Raw genomic sequence first — 20,827 nt, forward strand, 5'->3', positions numbered from 1 at the left:
ACTTGATGATAATTCTGTTGGAGGGACTCCTGTAGGGTGGATCCTGAGGTTTTGCTTCTTTTCATATTGGAAGATGAAGCAACTGTTGTGGTATAACTCATTAAACTCTAAGACATGGGATAAAGACCATCTCATCATATTGGCAACATGTCGTATTCATATTCCGCCTCTATAAGATACAAAGACCAACTATTGGATAGATAGTATAAAACTAGGGTCAGCCTGTGGGTAGAATCTGGCCTGCCACCTGATTTTGTAATTAGAGTTTTTACTGGAACACAGCCACGTTCAATCATTCAAATTTTATCTATGGCTCCTTTCACAAATACAAGGTAGATTTGGATATTTGAAACAGTGATATTACATCTAACAAAGCCTAAAATATTTGTAATATAATAATATTATATTTAGACCTTTATGGAAAAATTTGCTGATCTCTGGTGCAAAACAATGCTTCTGGTAGCAGTAGTGGCCAGTTTGTGGTAGTGACTGCAGAAGCTCTAGTCAAAATTGGGACCTATGGCTAAATGGATAAATCCCAATGCAAAGTATTAAGATGAATTCACATGTCTATGGTGACACATCTACCATTCTTGTCTTTGAAAACAACCTCTGAGATCACAGTCGTATATTTGAGCTGTATGGTACACAGTCTTCCTTCAGAGTCTGCACATCCTGCTATATCACTCTAAACATCAAACACATTATGTGTGTTCTCTTCACCCCATTACACAAGTTCTTTCATCTCAATGAGCATTAATTTGTCAGGTGTGGTGTCCCATACATTTTTTCCTGTGCTCTATTTTTTTGTGCTCTATTTTTAAAATGTGGAAAGTAAGCTCTCCAGGAAATCCTTCATTTGGAGAATATTTTATTTAATGGCTCTCAGGAGCATAACATTGAATTAATCATAATCCTTGGATCACCCCCTTGTTCTTTTTCAGGCATGGTATACTTTTATTTATGAAATCTAAAACTTTGTCAATAAACCAAATCTAAGAGTCTGGCTTCCCCCACTAACCCACCACCTATCTCCTCCAGTCTGAGGAAATCTCTAGATCAATCTTGAGTCCATCACTAGTCTTCCGCTTATCATTCCCTTACTTTCAATTTTATATAGTTTTGCAATTGCATTTATGCATATTCCTAAAGAGAGAGAGAGAGAGACAGAATGCATGTGTGCCTGTGTGTATGTGTGTTTAATTGCTTTAAACTTTATATATAGAGAGATCGAGGCTATATATAACTTGAGGGAACATTTTTCTCACTCATTGCTATCATTCATCCACATTGTAACTATCCATTCATCCACATTATTATATAATTCTCATTAATTTATTGATATAGCTGTAGAATAGTATACTGGGCAAATGCACCACAATGTAGTCATCTAATTTTCCCTTTAATGAGCTTTTGGATTGTTCTTTGGGTTTTGCTATTTAGAACAGCTCCTACTATGTAAGTGCAAAAGTTTCTTCTGGGAATAGACTTGCCTGTGAAATGGTGCATCAAATGGTGTGTTAATGCTCAACTCTAAGAGGCAAATCCAAACTGTATTCTAGTAGTGATACCAATTTATGCTCTCAGCAGTAATGTGTCGGTGTTATTTAAATATACTGATATTTTCAAGGTTTTTATTTTTGTCAAATGGTTAGGTATAAAATTACATCTCATTATTTCAATGTGTATTTCTCTGATCATTAAAGAGAGTAAACATTTTCTTCATATGTTTATTGGCTATTTGCATTTCTTCTCTCTGATGTGCCTGTTCATTTATCTTGTCTGTTATTCTATTGGGTTATTTGTCCTCTTTTTATTAACGAGTAAAGATTCTTTGTGTATTATTAATTGTAACCTGTTAGTTTTGTGCATTGTAAATACTTGCTCCCACTGTGTTATTTGTAATTTCATTCTTTATGTTGGCTTTTGATAAACAAAAATTCTTGCTTTTTCAGTAGCCATCTTGGGCCTGAGGAAGAAAAAAAAATCCTTGCTTTTAGTACAGTCAAAATTTTAAATTTTTTCTCTTGTAGCCAATGTTTATTTGTTACTGGTTTAAGAAATCTTACCCTGCCTAAAGTTGTTAAAAAACAGAACTCTAAATTTTTAAAAGATGTTTGGAAATTTTTTTTGATATGTAAATCTTTAATCTACCTGGAGTTTATTTTTTGTATATGATATGAAATAGAAATTCAATATTATCTTTTTCCATATAGATATGCTTCTTCCAGCTCCAATCTCTTTTCCTCCTTGATCTCTCATGCGACTGTGATCATATACCAAAATCCCAAACATATTTCGACCTGTTTCTGGGCTCATTCTATTACACTGTGTCAATTTATCTATCCTCACACTGTGTTAATTGTTATGGCTTTATCATAAGCATTAGAATCCAGTAGATATAATCCCAATCCACCCCTCACAGACTTCCCTTTAGAAGTGTTCTGTTTGTGACCTTTTACTTGACTGTGTAAAGTGGGAATAATCTTATCAAATTTTATGACCGTTACTTACATTGAAGCTACAGATCAATTTGGGAAGAAATGTCATCAGTATAATTTTTTTTTTTTTGAGACAAGGTTTCACTCCATTGCCCAGGCTAGAGTGCAGTGGCACAATCAGCTCACTGCAGCTTTGAGAACCTCCTGGGCTCAGGTGATCCTCTCACCTCAGCCACCCAAGTAGCTGGGACTACAGGCACACTCCACCACGCCCAGCTAATTTTTTGCATTTTTTTGTAGAGACGGGGTTTTGCCATATTGCCTGAGCTCAAGAGATCAGCCCACCTTAGCCTCCCAAAGTGCTGGGACTGTAGGTGTGAGCCACTGTGCCTGGCCATCAGTATGATACTAAGTTTCATCCATGAACATGATATATCTATTTAGGATTTAGTATTTTCTTAATATGTTTTAAAAAGTATTATAATGTTACCTATAGAGATATCAAATATGTTTTGTAATATCTATGAAGACTGGGCGCGGTGGCTTATGCCTGTAATCCCAGCACTTTGGGAGGCCAAGGCGGGCGGATCACCTGAGGTCAGGAGTTTGAGACCAGCCTAACCAACATGGAGAAACCCCATCCCTACTAAAAATACAAAAATTAGCTGGGCATGGTGGCGGGCGCCTGTAGTCCCTGCTACTTGGGAGGCTGAGGTGGGAGAATCGCTTGAACCTGGGAGGCAGAGGTTGCAGTGAGCCGAGATTGCACCACTACACTCCAGCCTGGTGATAGAGTGAGACTCCATCTCAAGAAAAAAAAAGGTATATCTATGAAGTATCATTTCATAGAGACTTCTCAGGTCAAGATCCTTTTCCTTCTAAGTTACTTTGAATGTTTATCATGATTAGTTATTAAATTGTATCAAATGTTTATGAAATGATATTTGTAGTCTATTAATGTGATTAATTGCACTTATGAATTTGTCTATTTTGTTAGGTTTTTAAAAGACCAAATATTTGCCTTTCTTCACCTTTGAAAGGTAAGAGTAAATTTGTCCAAGACTGATTCCCTGCAAGGTACCTCCCACAATGCTCCACTGGAAACTAGCTACTGTTTAGTACTTAAGGCAATCAATCTTGTAGAGTGTTAAAGTGAAGGCCTCAGGTTCTAGAAGGTTTGAATCTTAGCCCCTCACCATGACAAAGGAAGTACTGGTGTTCCCTCATTAATAAATGCCATGATCAAGGAATAAGGATATAGATAAAAATGCTGCCAGGTCACGGTGCTATGACCTGTACACTTAGACTCCATCACTTCAATAAATCAGGAAAGGGACTTGTGCTTCCTTGGCAGTCCAAAGCCAGAAGTCCTCTCCCCAAATCTGGTACCCAGTTCTGCCAGATATGTGTAGAATGCCTAGACGATAGGGGACCTGCTCATCTGTTAGAATTTCTATCCACCAAAGTATACTCCAATAAATGATGTTCCAGAAATATTTGTGTGCCTCTTAATTTTATTTTTGTATTATTTTTTTTGATTTTGGTATATATGTGCACATATTCCTTTCTTCCTATATTATTTGTGCTATCGTTTTGTGTTTATGACTTCTTAAGATAGATACCTAGTTAACTGATTGTAATACTTTCTTCTTTTCTTTTTCTTTTTCTTTTTTTTTTTTTTTTTTTGAGAAGGACCCTCCCTCTATCTCCCAGGCTGGAAAGCAGTGGCACATTCTCTGTTCACTGCAACCTCCACCTCCTCCTGGGTTCAAGTAATTCTCCTGCCTCAGCCTCCTGAGTAGGTGGGACTACAGGCGCGCGCCACCATGCCTGGCTAATTTTTGTATTTTTAGTAGAGACAGGGTTTCTCCATGTTGGCCAGGCTGGTCTCCAACTCCTGGCCTCAAGCAATCCACCTGCCTCGGCCTCCCAAAGCGTGGCAGTCCAATTCTCCCTGACAATCCCACAGACAGGTCTGCATGACAGTCACACAGACAGGCCTGCATAGCACTCCAGTTACATAGACAAATTTCCACAGAGCTGCCTTAACATTGAGCAAATAGTTAAACCTAGGGAAATCAGTGCCCAGACATCAAAGCTAGAAATGAAAACATGGTCATCAGGAGCCTCGCATAGCCTTCTCCCTTGCTGGAGCAAGTCAAAATAATAGAGACAGCCTTACATTCCTAGCGCCAGGACCCATCTCGGGTCGACAATATTTGAGATGAGTCACGGTAACAGAGGCGGCTGTTTGAATAGATTTACTGGAGAGTCTAAGACAGCTCTCCAGATCAAGCTGTAAAGAAGATAAGCTAGAAATAATCACTCCGGTACCACAGCAGACAGGCCTTGAAAGTACTGGAGCCCTCACAGCTTCACTGGACTTAGCAAGCTTTTTGTTTGTTTGTTTGTTTCCCTCTGACCTTCTAGTTGAAACAAAATTAGTTACCTATAGATTTAGGCGAATGCTGTACTGCACATAGGCACATATCCCCAACCTATATAAGCACTAAGAAAACTAACACTTTGAGTTGGTCTGGCGGAACTATCTCCAACCTTCCCCCTGTATCCAGCAATAGCAATAAATTCCCTTATTTCCTAGTTTGTCTGCTTTTCGTTATTGGGCCAGGAGAGAATGCAGCCAGACCCAGCTCTGTTCTGGGAACAAAAGTGCTGGAATTAAAGGATTGAGCCACTGCGTCCAGCCTCTTTTTTTTTTTTTAATTTCTTCTTTTCCAATGTAAGCTCTTAAAGTTATAAGTTTCTCTCGAAGTACATGTTGCTAAGTAGTGTTTTCTTATAATTTAGTTCTAGATAATTTTTAATTTTCATATCATGTTTTCCTTAACCTGTGAGTTATTTACTAATTTTTTTTAATTTCCAAATATGTGGAATTTCGTATTTATGTTTTGCCATTAACCAACTTAATCGCATTGTGTTCAAAGACTGGGATCTGAATGATGCTTGATTTTTTTTAATTTATCAAACTTATTTTATTGCCTGGATTCTGATCAGCTTTTGTAAATGTCTCACACTTTCTTCAGAGAAATGTGCCATCTCTAAATGTTAGGTGCAGAAAAATGCTATACCTGTCTATCACATCAAGTTCATTGCATGTATTGTTTAGATATTTTAGTGTTTAGATATTTTCAATATTTCCAAACTTTTACATATTTAACTTACCAATAATGAAAGGATGTACTGAAATTTTAGTATAATCCTGGATTTATAAACATTTCTCTCATATTATTAATTTGCATTCAAGTATTTTAAGGCTTAAAATTCCTACACCTCCATAGTGCATTGAATCCTTATTATTATTTGATGATATATTGTATTCCTAATCATTATTTTGTACCTTAAAGTCTATTTTATTGGATATGAATAACTACACTAATTTTCACTTGGCTAACATTTGCCTGATGTATCTTTTCTTCATATTTTTACTTTTGATCTTTAAATGTTCTTATCTTTTTGGTACACATTTGGATTATTTACTTATCAAACCGTATCTTTTAACTGGTGAGTTCAGTCTAATCTTATTTTCTTTAATTATTGATATACTTAGACCTGCTGTTATTATCTTAATTCATTATTTCAGTTTGTCCCACTTTTTGTTTTATATTCTTTCTTACTTTATTTTAAAATTTACATCTCTATTTCCCCTTAATGAGACCAGAACTATCCTCTTGATTCCTACCATACTACCATTATCTAGACTTTCAACTTTGCATCTGGGTTTTTGTGAATATATTTGGGGAGAAGGGCAGTTAGCAATTTTTAAAGCAGCAACAAATGTTTATTCTTTTAATCGTCTTTACCTCATATATTTCATATATTTCCTGGATTTTTCTTCCTTTTTATTTAAGTATTTTATCTAAAACTGTTTTTAGTAGGAGCTTTTGTGTGGCAAACCTGAGATCTTGTCTGCCTGAGAATATTATTTTTATATTATACTCTCATTTCTGAAGAACAATTTGGCTCACATTAAATTTAAGATGTTTTTCTGTGATGGTTTTAAAATATTGCTTCATTTATTGTGGACCCCAGTGTTGCAATTGAGGAACCTGAGATTGATATTTTCTTATCCTTTTGCATGTCAATTTTTTTATTCTCTTGGGAAGTTTTTATATTTTTTCTTTGTCTTTGTTAGTCTTGAATTTCACTATAGTATATGTGTATGTGCTTTTCATATTTCTCTTTTTTAACATTCTGTAAGCTCTTTCAATACAAAGACTTGTAAAATATTTTAATTCTAGAAAGTTAGCACTTTTCCATTACCCTCCTCATCTCTTGGCTCCTCTTTTATATTTTCCTACTTTTTGTCCTTGGCTTCTTCCATCTGGAGGATTTTCTCCATCTGATATTCTCTTTCAATACCTCATTCTCAAGCTTCATCCATTCTGCTACTGATCCCATCTGCTGTGTTCATTATGCAATTACTTTTTATACATAGTATCCTCTGTTCTTTTGGTGTTTTATTGTTCTTATCTCATATTGTTAGTAACTATACTTTTTCTTTTTTATTATGTTTATTACTTTAATTTTTTATAACTTCTAACATTCTGATTCTGTTTGTATCTGTAACCTAATCTGTTATTTTTTAATTCAAATGGCTGTGCTCTCAAATGTCTTATTATTTGAGTCTGGGAGCTCATTTTACCTTGGAAATATTGGCTAATCTGTCAGGCAATGCTGGGAAGGAAGACCAGACTTCATTTTCTGTCAGTCACAATTAAATCAGGAAAGGGAAATAATGAATGAAGATTCACTATAGAATCTCGGGCACACACACACACACACACACACACACACAAAAGACAATAAATCACTCGCTCTCCCAAATAACTCCACAGATCAAGTTTATATTTCAATTATTTGTTCCCAAGTATAAACATTATATCATTAGGAGGATTTTTTTTTTAACATTGTAATTCCCCAAACTTGAGAACCGAGCTAGCTTCGTGGGTATGTGTGACCTGCTCATGCTCACTGAGGGTGTCATGCTTGGTTTAATTGTCTGCAGGCTGGTCTTGTTTAACTTTTTTTTTTTAAGAGACAGGGTCTCATGACATCGGACAGGCTAAAGGGCACTGACTATTCACAGGAGCAATTCCACTACTGATTAACACAGGAGTTTTGAACAAAGGGCCCCACATTTTTATTTGGCTGAGCATCCTCATCACAAATGAAGGAGTCAACCAAGAAAAAAAATACATCATTGAATTCAGGAAACAAAGGATCTTACTCAAATGAATAGAATTTCTGGAATGAGAATGAAAAGAAATTACTGTGCAGCAAAAATGGGGAGCAACAGTTTAATTGGATCAGGAGGATAAATGTCTCTCAAAAGGAAATTTCCAAGGAAAAATCAAACCTAGTATTTGTTGAATGTATTAAGCTGGAATGTTAAGTATTTGAACTCAGTGATTGAGAATGTTGAGTCTTTGAACCTACTGATCTAGAACGTAAGCTCCATGAATGCAGTAAGTAGCACACAGTGGTACTCAATGTATTCTTTTTCAATATTCCTGATATGACTTCACTTTTTCTAGAAGATTTGGGAAGAAACTAGTGAAAGAAACAAAGAAAACTAAGCAAAGAAAAAAAGCAAGGCAATTTTAATTACAAGAAAAACAAAAAGTTGTACAAGAAATGTAATTATACCACAATATATGAATCAGCTAAGAATAATATTTACATAGTCATAATTATATAAACATTGAATACTGATTTAATCAAAATTATAAGGGACTATATTAAGATGTTTTCAAAAGGAGTAATGAATAGATGGGGAAGTATGTTATTTAAGAAAGCTATTTTTTTAAGTTACATCTTTCATAGTAGATTTTTTAAATTACATATTTCATACTAGATAAAAAGCAGAAGGCCGTTACTTAGATTTTCTTTTAAAAAGAGGCAATACCAGAAGAAATGAAAAATATTGAAAATAATTGCCTTAAAAGAGGGGAATTTGGAAATGGGAAAAAGTGACAAAGGGGATTATTATTTTTGTTGTAAATCTTATAAAATTATTTGCAGGCAATTTATACATGAATAATTTATTAAAAGTCAATTTAAAATAAAACATAAAAAATTAAACCTATATGGAACTAATAGACTCGATGACAAAAATTATGTAGAAGATGGGATTTGGTGGATGTCAAAAAGTTAAATCACGAAGTTTCCTAAACTGTTTGGGAGAATGGTCAAAACACTGACAAACTTTAGATCCCATTAGAAAAATATAATGTACATATATATTAAAATGTAAGGAGAGTCAAATAGAATTGTAGAAATGGAACACTGACCTTTGCTTCCAGTATTAGTTCAGAGGGGAGTTCTGCAAGACTTTCCCACTAAAGAACACAGCTTCTGTAAAGAAAACACACTTTTACAACACACCATGGGTCTCTATTGAGGTAGGGGAGGTCTAAAAATATCCTAAAACTTTATATCCTCATCCCCACACCTGACCTGCACCTGGGTTGCTCTGAAGGATGAAGACAAAAGAGCAATACTAGGATTTGGATACTACACCTTAGGCCAGAGGCAACAAAGGGAAGCTAAACATGAGACTTGCGCACTGAGCCAAAATCTAGAGAAAAGATTCCATGTTAGTGGTGCCCCTGGATATCAATAGAAGCAGAAGAAAATTCTTCCTGTCTGCAGAAAAATGTTCCTCAATTTACATATATGATTAAGATCAAATAATCAGCTCCAACACAATGGAAAGACAAATCTTTTGAGAGAAGTAAATAACAAACAGAATCAGATTACTGAGAACTGCAGGTGTTAGAAACCTCAGGCACAGAGTATTGAACAGTCATTGTATTAGTTCATTTTCACACTGCTGATAATGACATACCTGAGACTGGGTAGGTTATAAAGAAAAAGAGGTTTAGTGAATTCACAGTTACATGTGGCTAGGGAGGCCTCATAATCATGATGGAAGGCAAAAGGCATGTCTTAGATTGCGGCAGACAAGAGAGAATGAGAGCCAAGTGAAAGGGAAAACCCCTTATAAAACCATCAGATCTCATGAGACTTATTCACTACCACGAGAACAGTATGATGGAAACTGCCCCGTGATTCAATTATCTCCCACCGGGTCCCTCCAACAACGTGTGGGAATTATGGGAGCTACAACTCAAGATGAGATTTGGATGCAGACACAGCCAAACCATATCAGTCATGTATACAAACTTAAAGAAGTAAGGGGGTTTCTACTATTAGTAGTGATGGTCTAGAACAGGGGATTAGCAAACTACCACCTGTAGGCAAAATTTGGCTTATGATCTATTTTTGTATGGCCTGTGAACTAAGAATAGTTTTTATATTTTTAAATTATTGAAAAAAATTAAGAATAATATTTAGTAGCACACAAAAATTGTATAAAATACAATGTGTTCCAGCTCTGGGAAGATGAAATAGATATACTTTTCCCTATTTCTCCCACTATGTGAGGCTAATAATTCAGGATATTACATATAAAATTAAACATAGGAAGACTCTGGTTACTATTTAACCCAGAAATACCAATAGGCACAGACAAATAAAGCCTCTTTGGTTTCTTCAGCCAAAGGACCAGGAAAGAGCAGCTTACTTGGACAGGAAATTTTTTGGTTAATAATCTCGAGCTCCCCCAAGATGGCCGAATAGGAACAGCTCCGGTCTACAGCTCCCAGCGTGAGCGACGCAGAAGACGGGTGATTTCTGCATTTCCATCTGAGGTACCGGGTTCATCTCACTAGGGAGTGTCAGATAGTGGGCGCAGGTCAGTGGGTGCGTGCACCGTGCGCGAGCCGAAGCAGGGCGAGGCATTGCCTCACTTGGGAAGCACAAGGGGTCAGCGAGTTCCCTTTCTGAGTCAAAGAAAGGGGTGACGGACGGCACCTGGAAAATCGGGTCACTCCCACCCGAATACCCTGCTTTTCTGACGGGCTTAAAAAATGGTGCAGCACGAGACTATATCCCGCACCTGGCTCTGAGGGTCCTACGCCCACGGAGTCTCGCTGATTGCTAGTACAGCAGTCTGAGATCAATCTGCAAGGCGGCAATGAGGCTGGGGGAGGGGCGCCCGCCATTGCCCAGGCTTGATTAGGTAAACAAAGCAGCTGGGAAGCTCGAATTGGGTGGAGCCCACCACAGCTCAAGGAGGCCTGCCTGCCTCTGTAGGCTCCACCTCTGGGGGCAGGGCACAGACAAACAAAAAGACAGCAGTAACCTCTGCAGACTTAAATGTCCCTGTCTGACAGCTTTGAAGAGAGCAGTGGTTCTCCCAGCACGCAGCTGGAGATCTGAGAACGGGCAGACTGCCTCCTCAAGTGGGTCCCTGACCCCTGACCCCCGGGCAGCCTAACTGGGCTGCAGCCCCCCAGCAGGGGCACACTGACACCTCACATGGCAGGGTACTCCAACAGACCTGCAGCTGAGGGTCCTGTCTGTTAGAAGGAAAACTAACAAACAGAAAGGACATCCACACCAAAAACCCATCTGTACATCACCATCATCAAAGACCAAAAGTAGATAAAACCACAAAGATGGGGAAAAAACAGAACAGAAAAACTGGAAACTCTAAAAAGCAGAGCGCCTCTCCTCCTCCAAAGGAACGCAGTTCCTCACCAGCAATGCAACAAAGCTGGACGGAGAATGACTTTGACGAGCTGAGAGAAGAAGGCTTCAGACGATCAAATTACTCTGAGCTACGGGAGGACATTCAAACCAAAGGCAAAGAAGTTGAAAACTTTGAAAAAAATTTAGAAGAATGTATAACTAGAATAACCAATACAGAGAAGTGCTTAAAGGAGCTGATGGAGCTGAAAACCAAGGCTTGAGAACTACGTGAAGAATGCAGAAGCCTCAGGAGCCGATGCGATCAACTGGAAGAAACGGTATCAGCGATGGAAGATGAAATGAATGAAACGAAGTGAGAAGGGAAGTTTAGAGAAAAAAGAATAAAAAGAAATGAGCAAAGCCTCCAAGAAATATGGGACTATGTGAAAAGACCAAATCTACGTCTCATTGGTGTACCTGAAAGTAATGGGGAGAATGGAACCAAGTTGGAAAACACTCTGCAGGATATTATCCAGGAGAACTTCCCCAATCTAGCAAGGCAGGCCAACGTTCAGATTCAGGAAATACAGAGAATGCCACAAAGATACTCCTCGAGAAGAGCAACTCCAAGACACATAATTGTCAGATTCACCAAAGTTGAAATGAAGGAAAAAATGCTAAGGGCAGCCAGAGAGAAAGGTCAGGTTACCCTCAAAGGGAAGCCCATCAGACTAACAGCTGATCTCTCAGCAGAAACCCTACAAGCCAGAAGAGAGTGGGGGCCAATATTCAACATTCTTAAAGAAAAGAATTTTCAACCCAGAATTTCATATCCAGCCAAACTAAGCTTCATAAGTGAAGGAGAAATAAAATCCTTTACAGACAAGCAAATGCTGAGAGATTTTGTCACCACCAGGCCAGCCTTACAAGAGCTCCTGAAGGAAGCACTAAACATGGAAAGGAACAACCGGTACCAGCTGCTGCAAAATCATGGCAAAATGTAAAGACCATCGAGACTAGGAAGAAACTGCATCAACTAACGAGCAAAATAACCAGCTAACATCATAATGACAGGATCAAATTCACACATAACAATATTAACTTTAAATGTAAATGGACTAAATGCTCCAATTAAAAGACACAGACTGGCAAATTGGATAAAGAGTCAAGACCCATCAGTGTGCTGTATTCAGGAAACCCATCTCACGTGCAGAGACACACATAGGCTCAAAATAAAAGGATGAAGGAAGATCTACCAAGCAAATGGAAAACAAAAAAAGGCAGGGGTTGCAATCCTAGTCTCTGATAAAACAGACTTTAAACCAACAAAGATCAAAAGAGACAAAGAAGGCCATTACATAATGGTAAAGGGATCAATTCAACAAGAAGAGCTAACTATCCTAAATATATATGCACCCAATACAGGAGCACCCAGATTCATAAAGCAAGTCCTGAGTGACCTACAAAGAGACTTAGACTCCCACACATTAATAAGGGAGACTTTAACACCCCACTGTCAACATTAGACAGATCAACGAGACAGAAAGTCAACAATACCCAGGAATTGAACTCAGCTCTGCACCAAGCGGACCTAATAGACATCTACAGAACCCTCCACCCCAAATCAACAGAATATACATTTTTTTCAGCACCACACCACACCTATTCCAAAATTGACCACATACTGGGAAGTAAAGCTCTCCTCAACAAATGTAAAAGAACAGAAATTATAACAAACTATCTCTCAGACCACAGTGCAATCAAACTAGAACTCAGGATTAAGAATCTCACTCAAAACTGCTCAACTACATGGAAACTGAACAACCTGCTCCTGAATGACTACTGGGTACATAACGAAATGAAGGCAGAAATAAAGATGTTCTTTGAAACCAACGAGAACAAAGACACAACATACCAGAATCTCTGGGACACATTCAAAGCAGTGTGTAGAGGGAAATTTATAGCACTAAATGCTCACAAAAGAAAGCAGGAAAGATCCAAAATTGACACGCTAACATCACCATTAAAAGAACTAGAAAAGCAAGAGCAAACACATTCAAAAGCTAGCAGAAGGCAAGAAATAACTAAAATCAGAGCAGAACTGAAGGAAATAGAGACACAAAAAACCCTTCAAAAAATTAATGAATCCAGGAGCTGGATTTTTGAAAGCATCAACAAAATTGATAGACCGCTAGCAAGACTAATAAAGAAAAAAAGAGAGAAGAATCAAATAGACGCAATAAAAAATGATAAAGGGGATATCATCACCGATCCCACAGAAATACAAACTACCATCAGAGAATACTACAAACATCTCTACGCAAATAAACTAGAAAATCTAGAAGAAATGGATAAATTCCTGGACACATACACTCTCCCAAGACTAAACAAGGAAGAAGTTGAATCTCTGAATAGACCAATAACAGGAGCTGAAATTGTGGCAATAATCAATAGCTTACCAACAAAAAAGAGTCCAGGACCAGATGGATTCACAGCCGAATTCTACCAGAGGTACAAGGAGGAACTGGTACCATTCCTTCTGAAACTATTCCAATCAATAGAAAAAGACGGAATCCTCCCTAACTCATTTTATGAGGCCAGCATCATTCTGATACCAAAGCCAGGCAGAGACACAACAAAAAAAGAGAATTTTAGACCAATATCCTTGATGAACATTGATGCAAAAATCCTCAATAAAATACTGGCAAACCGAATCCAGCAGCACATCAAAAAGCTTATCCACCATGATCAAGTGGGCTTCATCCCTGGGATGCAAGGCTGGTTCAATATACGCAAATCGATAAATGTAATCCAGCATATAAACAGAGCCAAAGACAAAAACCACATGATTATCTCAATAGATGCAGAAAAGGCCTTTGACAAAATTCAACAACCCTTCATGCTAAAAACTCTCAATAAATTAGGTATTGATGGGACGTATTTCAAAATAATAAGAGCTATCTATGACAAACCCACAGCCAGTGTCATACTGAATGGACAAAAACTGGAAGCATTCCCTTTGAAAACTGGCACAAGACAGGGATGCCCTCTCTCACCACTCCTATTCAACAGAGTGTTGGAAGTTCTGGCCAGGGCAATTAGGCAGGAGAAGGAAATAAAGGGTATTCAATTAGGAAAAGAGGAAGTCAAATTGTCCCTGTTTGCAGATGACATGATTGTATATCTAGAAAACCCCATCATCTCAGCCCAAAATCTCCTTAAGCTGATAAGCAACTTCAGCAAAGTCTCAGGATACAAAATAAATGTGCAAAAATCACAAGCATTCTTATACACCAACAACAGACAAACAGAGAGCCAAATCATGAGTGAACTCCCATTCACAATTGCTTCAAAGAGAATAAAATACCTAGGAATCCAACTTACAAGGGATGTGAAGGACCTCTTCAAGGAGAACTACAAACCACTGCTCAAGGAAATAAAAGAGGATGCAAACAAATGGAAGAACATTCCATGCTCATGGGTAGGAAGAATCAATATCGTGAAAATGACCATACTGCCCAAGGTAATTTACAGATTCAATGCCATCCCCATCAAGCTACCAATGACTTTCTTCACAGAATTGGAAAAAACTACTTTAAAGTTCATATGGAACCAAAAAAGAGCCCGCATCGCCAAGTCAATCCTAAGCCAAAAGAACAAAGCTGGAGGCATCACACTACCTGACTTCAAACTATACTACAAGGCTACAGTAACCAAAACAGCATGGTACTGGTACCAAAACAGAGATATAGATCAATGGAACAGAACAGAGCCCTCAGAAATAATGCCTCATATCTACAACTATCTGATCTTTGACAAACCTGAGAAAAACAAGCAATGGGGAAAGGATTCCCTATTTAATAAATGGTGCTGGGAAAACTGGCTAGCCATATGTAGAAAGCTGAAACTGGATCCCTTCCTTATACCTTATAAAAAATCAATTCAAGATGGATTAAAGACTTAAACATTAGACCTAAAGCCATAAAAACCCTAGAAGAAAACCTAGGCATTACCATTCAGGACATAGGCATGGGCAAGGACTTCATGTCTAAAACACCAAAAGCAATGGCAACAAAAGACAAAATTGACAAATGGGATCTAATTAAACTAAAGAGCTTCTGCACAGCAAAAGAAACTACCATCAGAGTGAACAGGCAACCTACAAAATGGGAGGAAATTTTCGCAACCTACTCATCTGACAAAGGGCTAATATCCAGAATCTACAATGAACTCAAACAAATTTACAAGAAAAAAACAAACAACCCCATCAAAAAGTGGGCAAAGGACATGAACAGACACTTCTCAAAAGAAGACATTTATGCAGCTAAAAAACACTTGAAAAAATGCTCATCATCACTGGCCATCAGAGAAATGCAAATCAAAACCACAATGAGATACCATCTCACACCAGTTAGAATGGCAATCATTAAAAAGTCAGGAAACAACAGGTGCTGGAGAGGATGTGGAGAAATAGGAACACTTTTACACTGTTGGTGGGACTGTAAACTAGTTCAACCATTGTGGAAGTCAGTGTGGTGATTTCTTGGGGATCTAGAACTGGAAATACCATTTGACCCAGCCATCCCATTACTGGGTATATACCCAAAGGACTATAAATCATGCTGCTATAAAGACACATGCACACGTATGTTTATTGCGGCATTATTCACAATAGCAAAGACTTGGAACCAACCCAAATGTCCAACAATGATAGACTGGATTAAGAAAATGTGGCACATATACACCATGGAATACTATGCAGCCATAAAAAATGATGAGTTCATGTCCTTTGTAGGGACATGGATGAAATTGGAAATCATCATTCTCAGTAAACTATTGCAAGAACAAAAAACCAAACACCGCATATTCTCACTCATAGGTGAGAATTGAACAATGAGATCACATGGAAACAGGAAGGGGAATATTACACTCTGGGGATTGTTGTGGGGTGGGGGGAGGGGGGAGGGATAGCATTGGGAGATATACCTAATGCTAGATGACGAGTTAGTGGGTCCAGCGCACCAGCATGGCACATGTATACATATTTAACTAACCTGCACAATGTGCACATGTACCCTAAAACTTAAAGTTTAATAAAAAAAAAAAAAAAACTCTCTACTCCTCCTGAAGGGTCTTTTGGTGGACCCTTCTCTTCCACAAAATCTTCGAACACTGGAATACTTCAGGGGTCACTTCTTGGTCCTTTTCTCTACTCCATCTATATTTATTTCTTCAGTGATCTCATCCAGTCTAATGACATTTGAATATGTCCTATAGGGTGACCATTCCCAAATCAATAAATCCAGTCCAGACATTATTACGGAACTTCAATCACATGCTTACTCAATAGCTCCACGAGATCTCTAATGAATATATCAAACTCAATATACATAAAACAAGGCTGTTTTCCCCCTTCTTCCCTCTCCCCACTGACCCTTTCCCCCAAAAAGAAGACCCTGTTCCCTGTTCAACTTGCAGTTTTCCTTATCTCACTAGATGGCATATTATCTCTCTGCCTTCTTAACCAGAAACATTGGGACAATACTTACTTTTCTTTATCTCTCAGCATTTTTTCTCCCAGAATGCAATGCTTCATTTGACCAGAGGACATTTTTCTGCCCTAGTACAAATAACTGCAAAACAATCTATTTATATGCCTTGTGGAGGCAAAGCCTGACAGAAATGGATTTAAGAGAGAAGGATACTAGAAGTTGTTTTGCAAAGAGGAAAAAATGCTCTTTTCAAGGGCACAAATGAATACAATGGGTTTATGTCCAGGACAATTCTGGTTTATGTCTCCTCTCTTGGCATAATACTTAATAGCATCCCTAGATAGTTTTAGAACTATCTAGTACGGATGATAAAAATTGTATTGTCAACCTCCTCAAATCTTGTTGATTGATTTTTTCTTCAAAACAGATTCAGAATCTAAGTGCTTGTCACTTGGCCAAGCCACCATCTCGTCTCACCTGCTGCATCTTGTCTCTCTTTTTTTTGTTGTTTTACACTCTTCTGAGCATGTCACTCTTCCACTCAAAGTCCTACAGTGACTCCTTGTTTCACCCAATAAGTGCCAAAATTCTTACATGGCCTAGAAATGTCTATTTAATCTGTCCACTCCTTCCCTGATCTCTGACGTCGTATCATACTTCTTTCCCCGTCATACATTCTGGTCCAACAAGATTGGCCTCCTCCATGTGAGAAATGCTATCATTTTTTTAACTATTTGCCCACCACCCCACTCCTACTCACCATCTATAAAGCTCTTCCCCCAGACTCCACATGGCTTTCTCACCTCCATCATGTCATAGCTCAAATATCATCTTTTCATTAAAATCTACCTATTGACCTTACTTAAAATTTTCAACTCTGCACATATTGATCCCACTTTCCTTTTTAAAATTGTTTTCCATACTCTTAGCACTTTTTGACATACAACCCTGTGTATTCATTAATTTTTTTTAATCGACTGCCTTTCCCTTGTACAGCAGAAATTTCTTTGTTTTATTCACTGATATATCCTAGGTGCACGTAGCAGGTACTCAATAAATATATGCTGAATGAATTAATGAGTGAAAAGGTAACAATTTTAAAACTTTCAAATAACATTAGAATAGCCTTACTGATTTGCATTTGCACTGCCCAAATATAATTCTCTTAATTCATTTTATTAGTTTTATATTACAAAATTAAAACATGCTTATTGAGCATATTTGATTAATTTTCATTAATACAAACTTCTAAGAAACTGAGAAATATATTCAGACTTAGACATTTACCATATTAAATCATTAAATAGAAATCCATGGTGGTTGGGAATAAAACAAAGCTATTGCCTTGGAAAAAGTTACGTTCATGTAACTATCTGATATCTCAATCACATACATAGATATAAATGCAGATGTAGACATAGATGTATATATGCCTATAAATACACACAGGTAGTTAAATATAAGTTAATTTGCACAGTGGCCTGCTTCCTGCTCTCTGCTAAGCAACCTCAATAGAGAAAAGGTGGCAAATTGGAATCTACATCTGATGAAATATATCATGCCTAAATTTAAAAAAAAATTAATTTGGACCAAGTTTGTAGGAACAATTAACATGAATTGACACTAATGTGGTCAAGTAATGGTACAAGGAAATCAAACTGTCGTCAAGGTTCCCAAGTTATAAATCACATCATGCCAACAGCAAAAGTTTGCAGATAAATCACACTGAGAAATGTCAGAATAAATAATTGAACTCTTTTGAACCAAAAGTAATTTATTTGACTTTGCAAATGATACAGAATGTAGCCTTCAGTTTTTCATATTTTCAAATAGTACATTGAAGAGAAAGCAGAGATGAGCAATAGAAATAAATATGGCTTGATCAAGTGTAGGTGTCCTTAGGCAATTAAATAAAAGCAGACTCAGTATTATGTTCAGTGATCACAACAGACAAGGAAGAGTGGATTAAACACATAGCAATTTGTCTCAGGGAACAAGAGTCCTGGAGGTAGACAATCCAGATTTGTAAAAGTGGTTCAGTGAAGCCTTTAGAGAAGGATCGCTCTATCTCTTTTCTTGACATCATTAGCATATGTGCCTTTATCTTCATGCTTGCCATCTCCTGGTTGTAAGATGACTGCTCTACCTTAACCTCACATCCACATTCCAGACAGGAAGAAGGAGGAAGAGAAGAGGTAGAACTAAAAGCCTCAAAAGAGCAAAAGCTTTCCCCAAATCCCTGGCTGACCATCCGTTATTCATTGGCTAGAACTGTGTACCATGGCTACCTTAGCTAAAAGAGTCTAGAAAAACAAGTGTTTTTGGATGGCACATTGTCAATTCAAACAAAATTGGGGTTCCTTTAGTAAGAAAGCAGGGAATAATGAATATTTGATAGGCAAGTAGGAGTAAATGTACTGATAAAGGACATATAGAAAGAGAAGAAAATTTGGTAAAGAAGATGGCTTTGAGAAACAACTACATTTAGGGGCAGGTAAAAAAAAAAAGAATAATCACAGGAAAGAGAAAAAAAGTAACCAAAGAAGTAAAACAAAAATAGGAATATTGTCAAAAAGTAATTCATGTTTTTGCAATATAATTAGATCTGTAAAATGTTTTGACTTATTTCTCAATTACCTTTGAATATAAGGAAGGTAATTACATTATGAATCCATAAGTCATGACCATCTGACAATTGACATTAACATTCCTCTTCAACAGGTTACATTAATAAATACAGAAAAGCATAGTGTCCGTTCCTGAGGCAGACGGCTGGGGCAAAAGAAAGTTCTTTACAGACATCTGATGCTGTAACTATTAGTCAACTGACAAAAATTTAGATAATTTCAAATCACAACACAGCCAGCTGATGTGTCCATTTAAATAAATATTTCTTCTTATTGAGAAAAAAAAAGCTTTTTCCTTTGTGAATGCAATTTCACGGCCAAAAGAATAACTATTTTTGTTGTTATATCAAATATGTTTTCTTAACTGCTCTTTTGCTAAATGTAATCTACGCACTAAATGGCCTGACTTGAATCAAGCCAGAAATTTTTTAGACTTGTATCTCCAAAGTTTGAAGATGAAATGAGAATGTTTCTTTTCCTTTGTAGCTTGCTGCTTTTGGTCAAGCATTCTCAATGTCCACCATTGTTAGCATAAATAAACTGAGTAAAGATATTTTGACAGCTAAAACTTTAAAATCTCATGTAAACTTGAATATATTTTCAAAATTAAAAGGGAAAATTTACTTAAATGTTCATATACATATGTTTGGGGTTAGTTTAAACTTAAAAAAATTAATGTGTACTGCAATAATATTTGAAACAACAAATGTGTTTCATTTTTCTTTCTAAAAGAAGTAAAATTAAGAGATAAAAAATCTTTAATTTCGGTACTGTCCGTCAACTGAAATAAATTAGCCACATTCGATACCATAATTTAACATTTTACTCATTACGAATAAATTATGCTGTACTTTCTTTGCATCTTAATTTATTTTTTAGAAATCACAAGTTATTTTAATCAACAAAAATAGGAGTAGAAAGTGTTGCTTCTTCCTTTTTCTTTAGTATAATAACTAGCCTGAAAACAGTTTTTTTTTTTTTTAATTTTTTTTGAGACAGGGTCTCACTCTGTCACCTAAGCTGGAGTGAAATGGTACAATCATAGCTCACTGCAGCCTTGCCCTCCTGGGCTAAGGTGATCCTCCCATCTCAGCTTCTGGAGTAGCTGAGACCACAGGCATGCACCACCATGCCTGGCTAATTTTGTGTTTTTTATAGAGACGAACTTTTGCCATATTGCCGAGTTTGGTCTCAAACTCCTGGACTCAAGCGATCCACCAGTCTCAGCCTCCCTCCCAAAGTGTTGAAATTACAGGTGTGAACCACCATATCTGGCCTGATTTTATTTAATTATGAAAAAAAAATCTGAATTTCCCTGATCTTCAATGTAACTGATGTTAAAATGTTACCTGATGTATTAAATAGAAAATAATTAAGCCTCAGATCATTAAATAATAATTCTTTCAACTGCTGTCACAATTATTTTATATATGGAAATCATAGCAATTAATGAATGAATGCCATGAAACATAAGTACTAATGTTTTATTCAAAAACAGCATGAAAGTTATAAATCTATTTCTTTATAAAGGATACAGAAAAGTACATGCAAATTATACTATTTCGTACTATGAAGGACATCTTTTAGAAGTTTTCATCATGATTCAAAAGTTATAGAAACGAGGTGCGGATAATAAAAAAGGTTTTATATTTGGCTTTGGAATTTGTGTACTTACAACTTAATAAGAGTATTTCCTGTTGATATGGTTTGA

The 20,827-nt window shown here is 37.0% G+C and overlaps 1 protein-coding gene across 1 annotated transcript in view, besides 2 other annotated features; it reads right to left on the reverse strand.

Annotated features, from left to right (window-relative positions):
- SLCO1A2 (solute carrier organic anion transporter family member 1A2) overlaps nt 1-10,505 on the reverse strand; it is a 155,035-nt gene extending 144,530 nt beyond the window's left edge. Inside the window, exons 1-3 of the mRNA NM_001386881.1 lie at nt 10,423-10,505; nt 10,048-10,191; nt 8,753-8,816 (exon numbers count right to left, since the gene is read on the reverse strand). The gene's annotated coding sequence lies outside the window, so the exon portion shown is untranslated. The remainder of the gene's footprint in view (nt 1-8,752; nt 8,817-10,047; nt 10,192-10,422) is intronic.
- Nucleotides 7,603-8,104: an enhancer, noted in NCBI's record as "NANOG hESC enhancer chr12:21569666-21570167 (GRCh37/hg19 assembly coordinates)". NCBI's record gives its function as "activates a minimal SCP1, AML or CMV promoter by ChIP-STARR-seq in primed H9 embryonic stem cells {active_cell/tissue: H9 hESC(primed)}" and the evidence as "EXISTENCE:reporter gene assay evidence [ECO:0000049][PMID:30033119]".
- Nucleotides 10,328-10,889: an enhancer, noted in NCBI's record as "NANOG-H3K27ac-H3K4me1 hESC enhancer chr12:21572391-21572952 (GRCh37/hg19 assembly coordinates)". NCBI's record gives its function as "activates a minimal SCP1, AML or CMV promoter by ChIP-STARR-seq in naive and primed H9 embryonic stem cells {active_cell/tissue: H9 hESC(naive and primed)}" and the evidence as "EXISTENCE:reporter gene assay evidence [ECO:0000049][PMID:30033119]".

Source organism: Homo sapiens, chromosome 12 (genome assembly GCF_000001405.40).
Source record: "Homo sapiens chromosome 12, GRCh38.p14 Primary Assembly".
Taxonomy (NCBI): domain Eukaryota; kingdom Metazoa; phylum Chordata; class Mammalia; order Primates; family Hominidae; genus Homo; species Homo sapiens.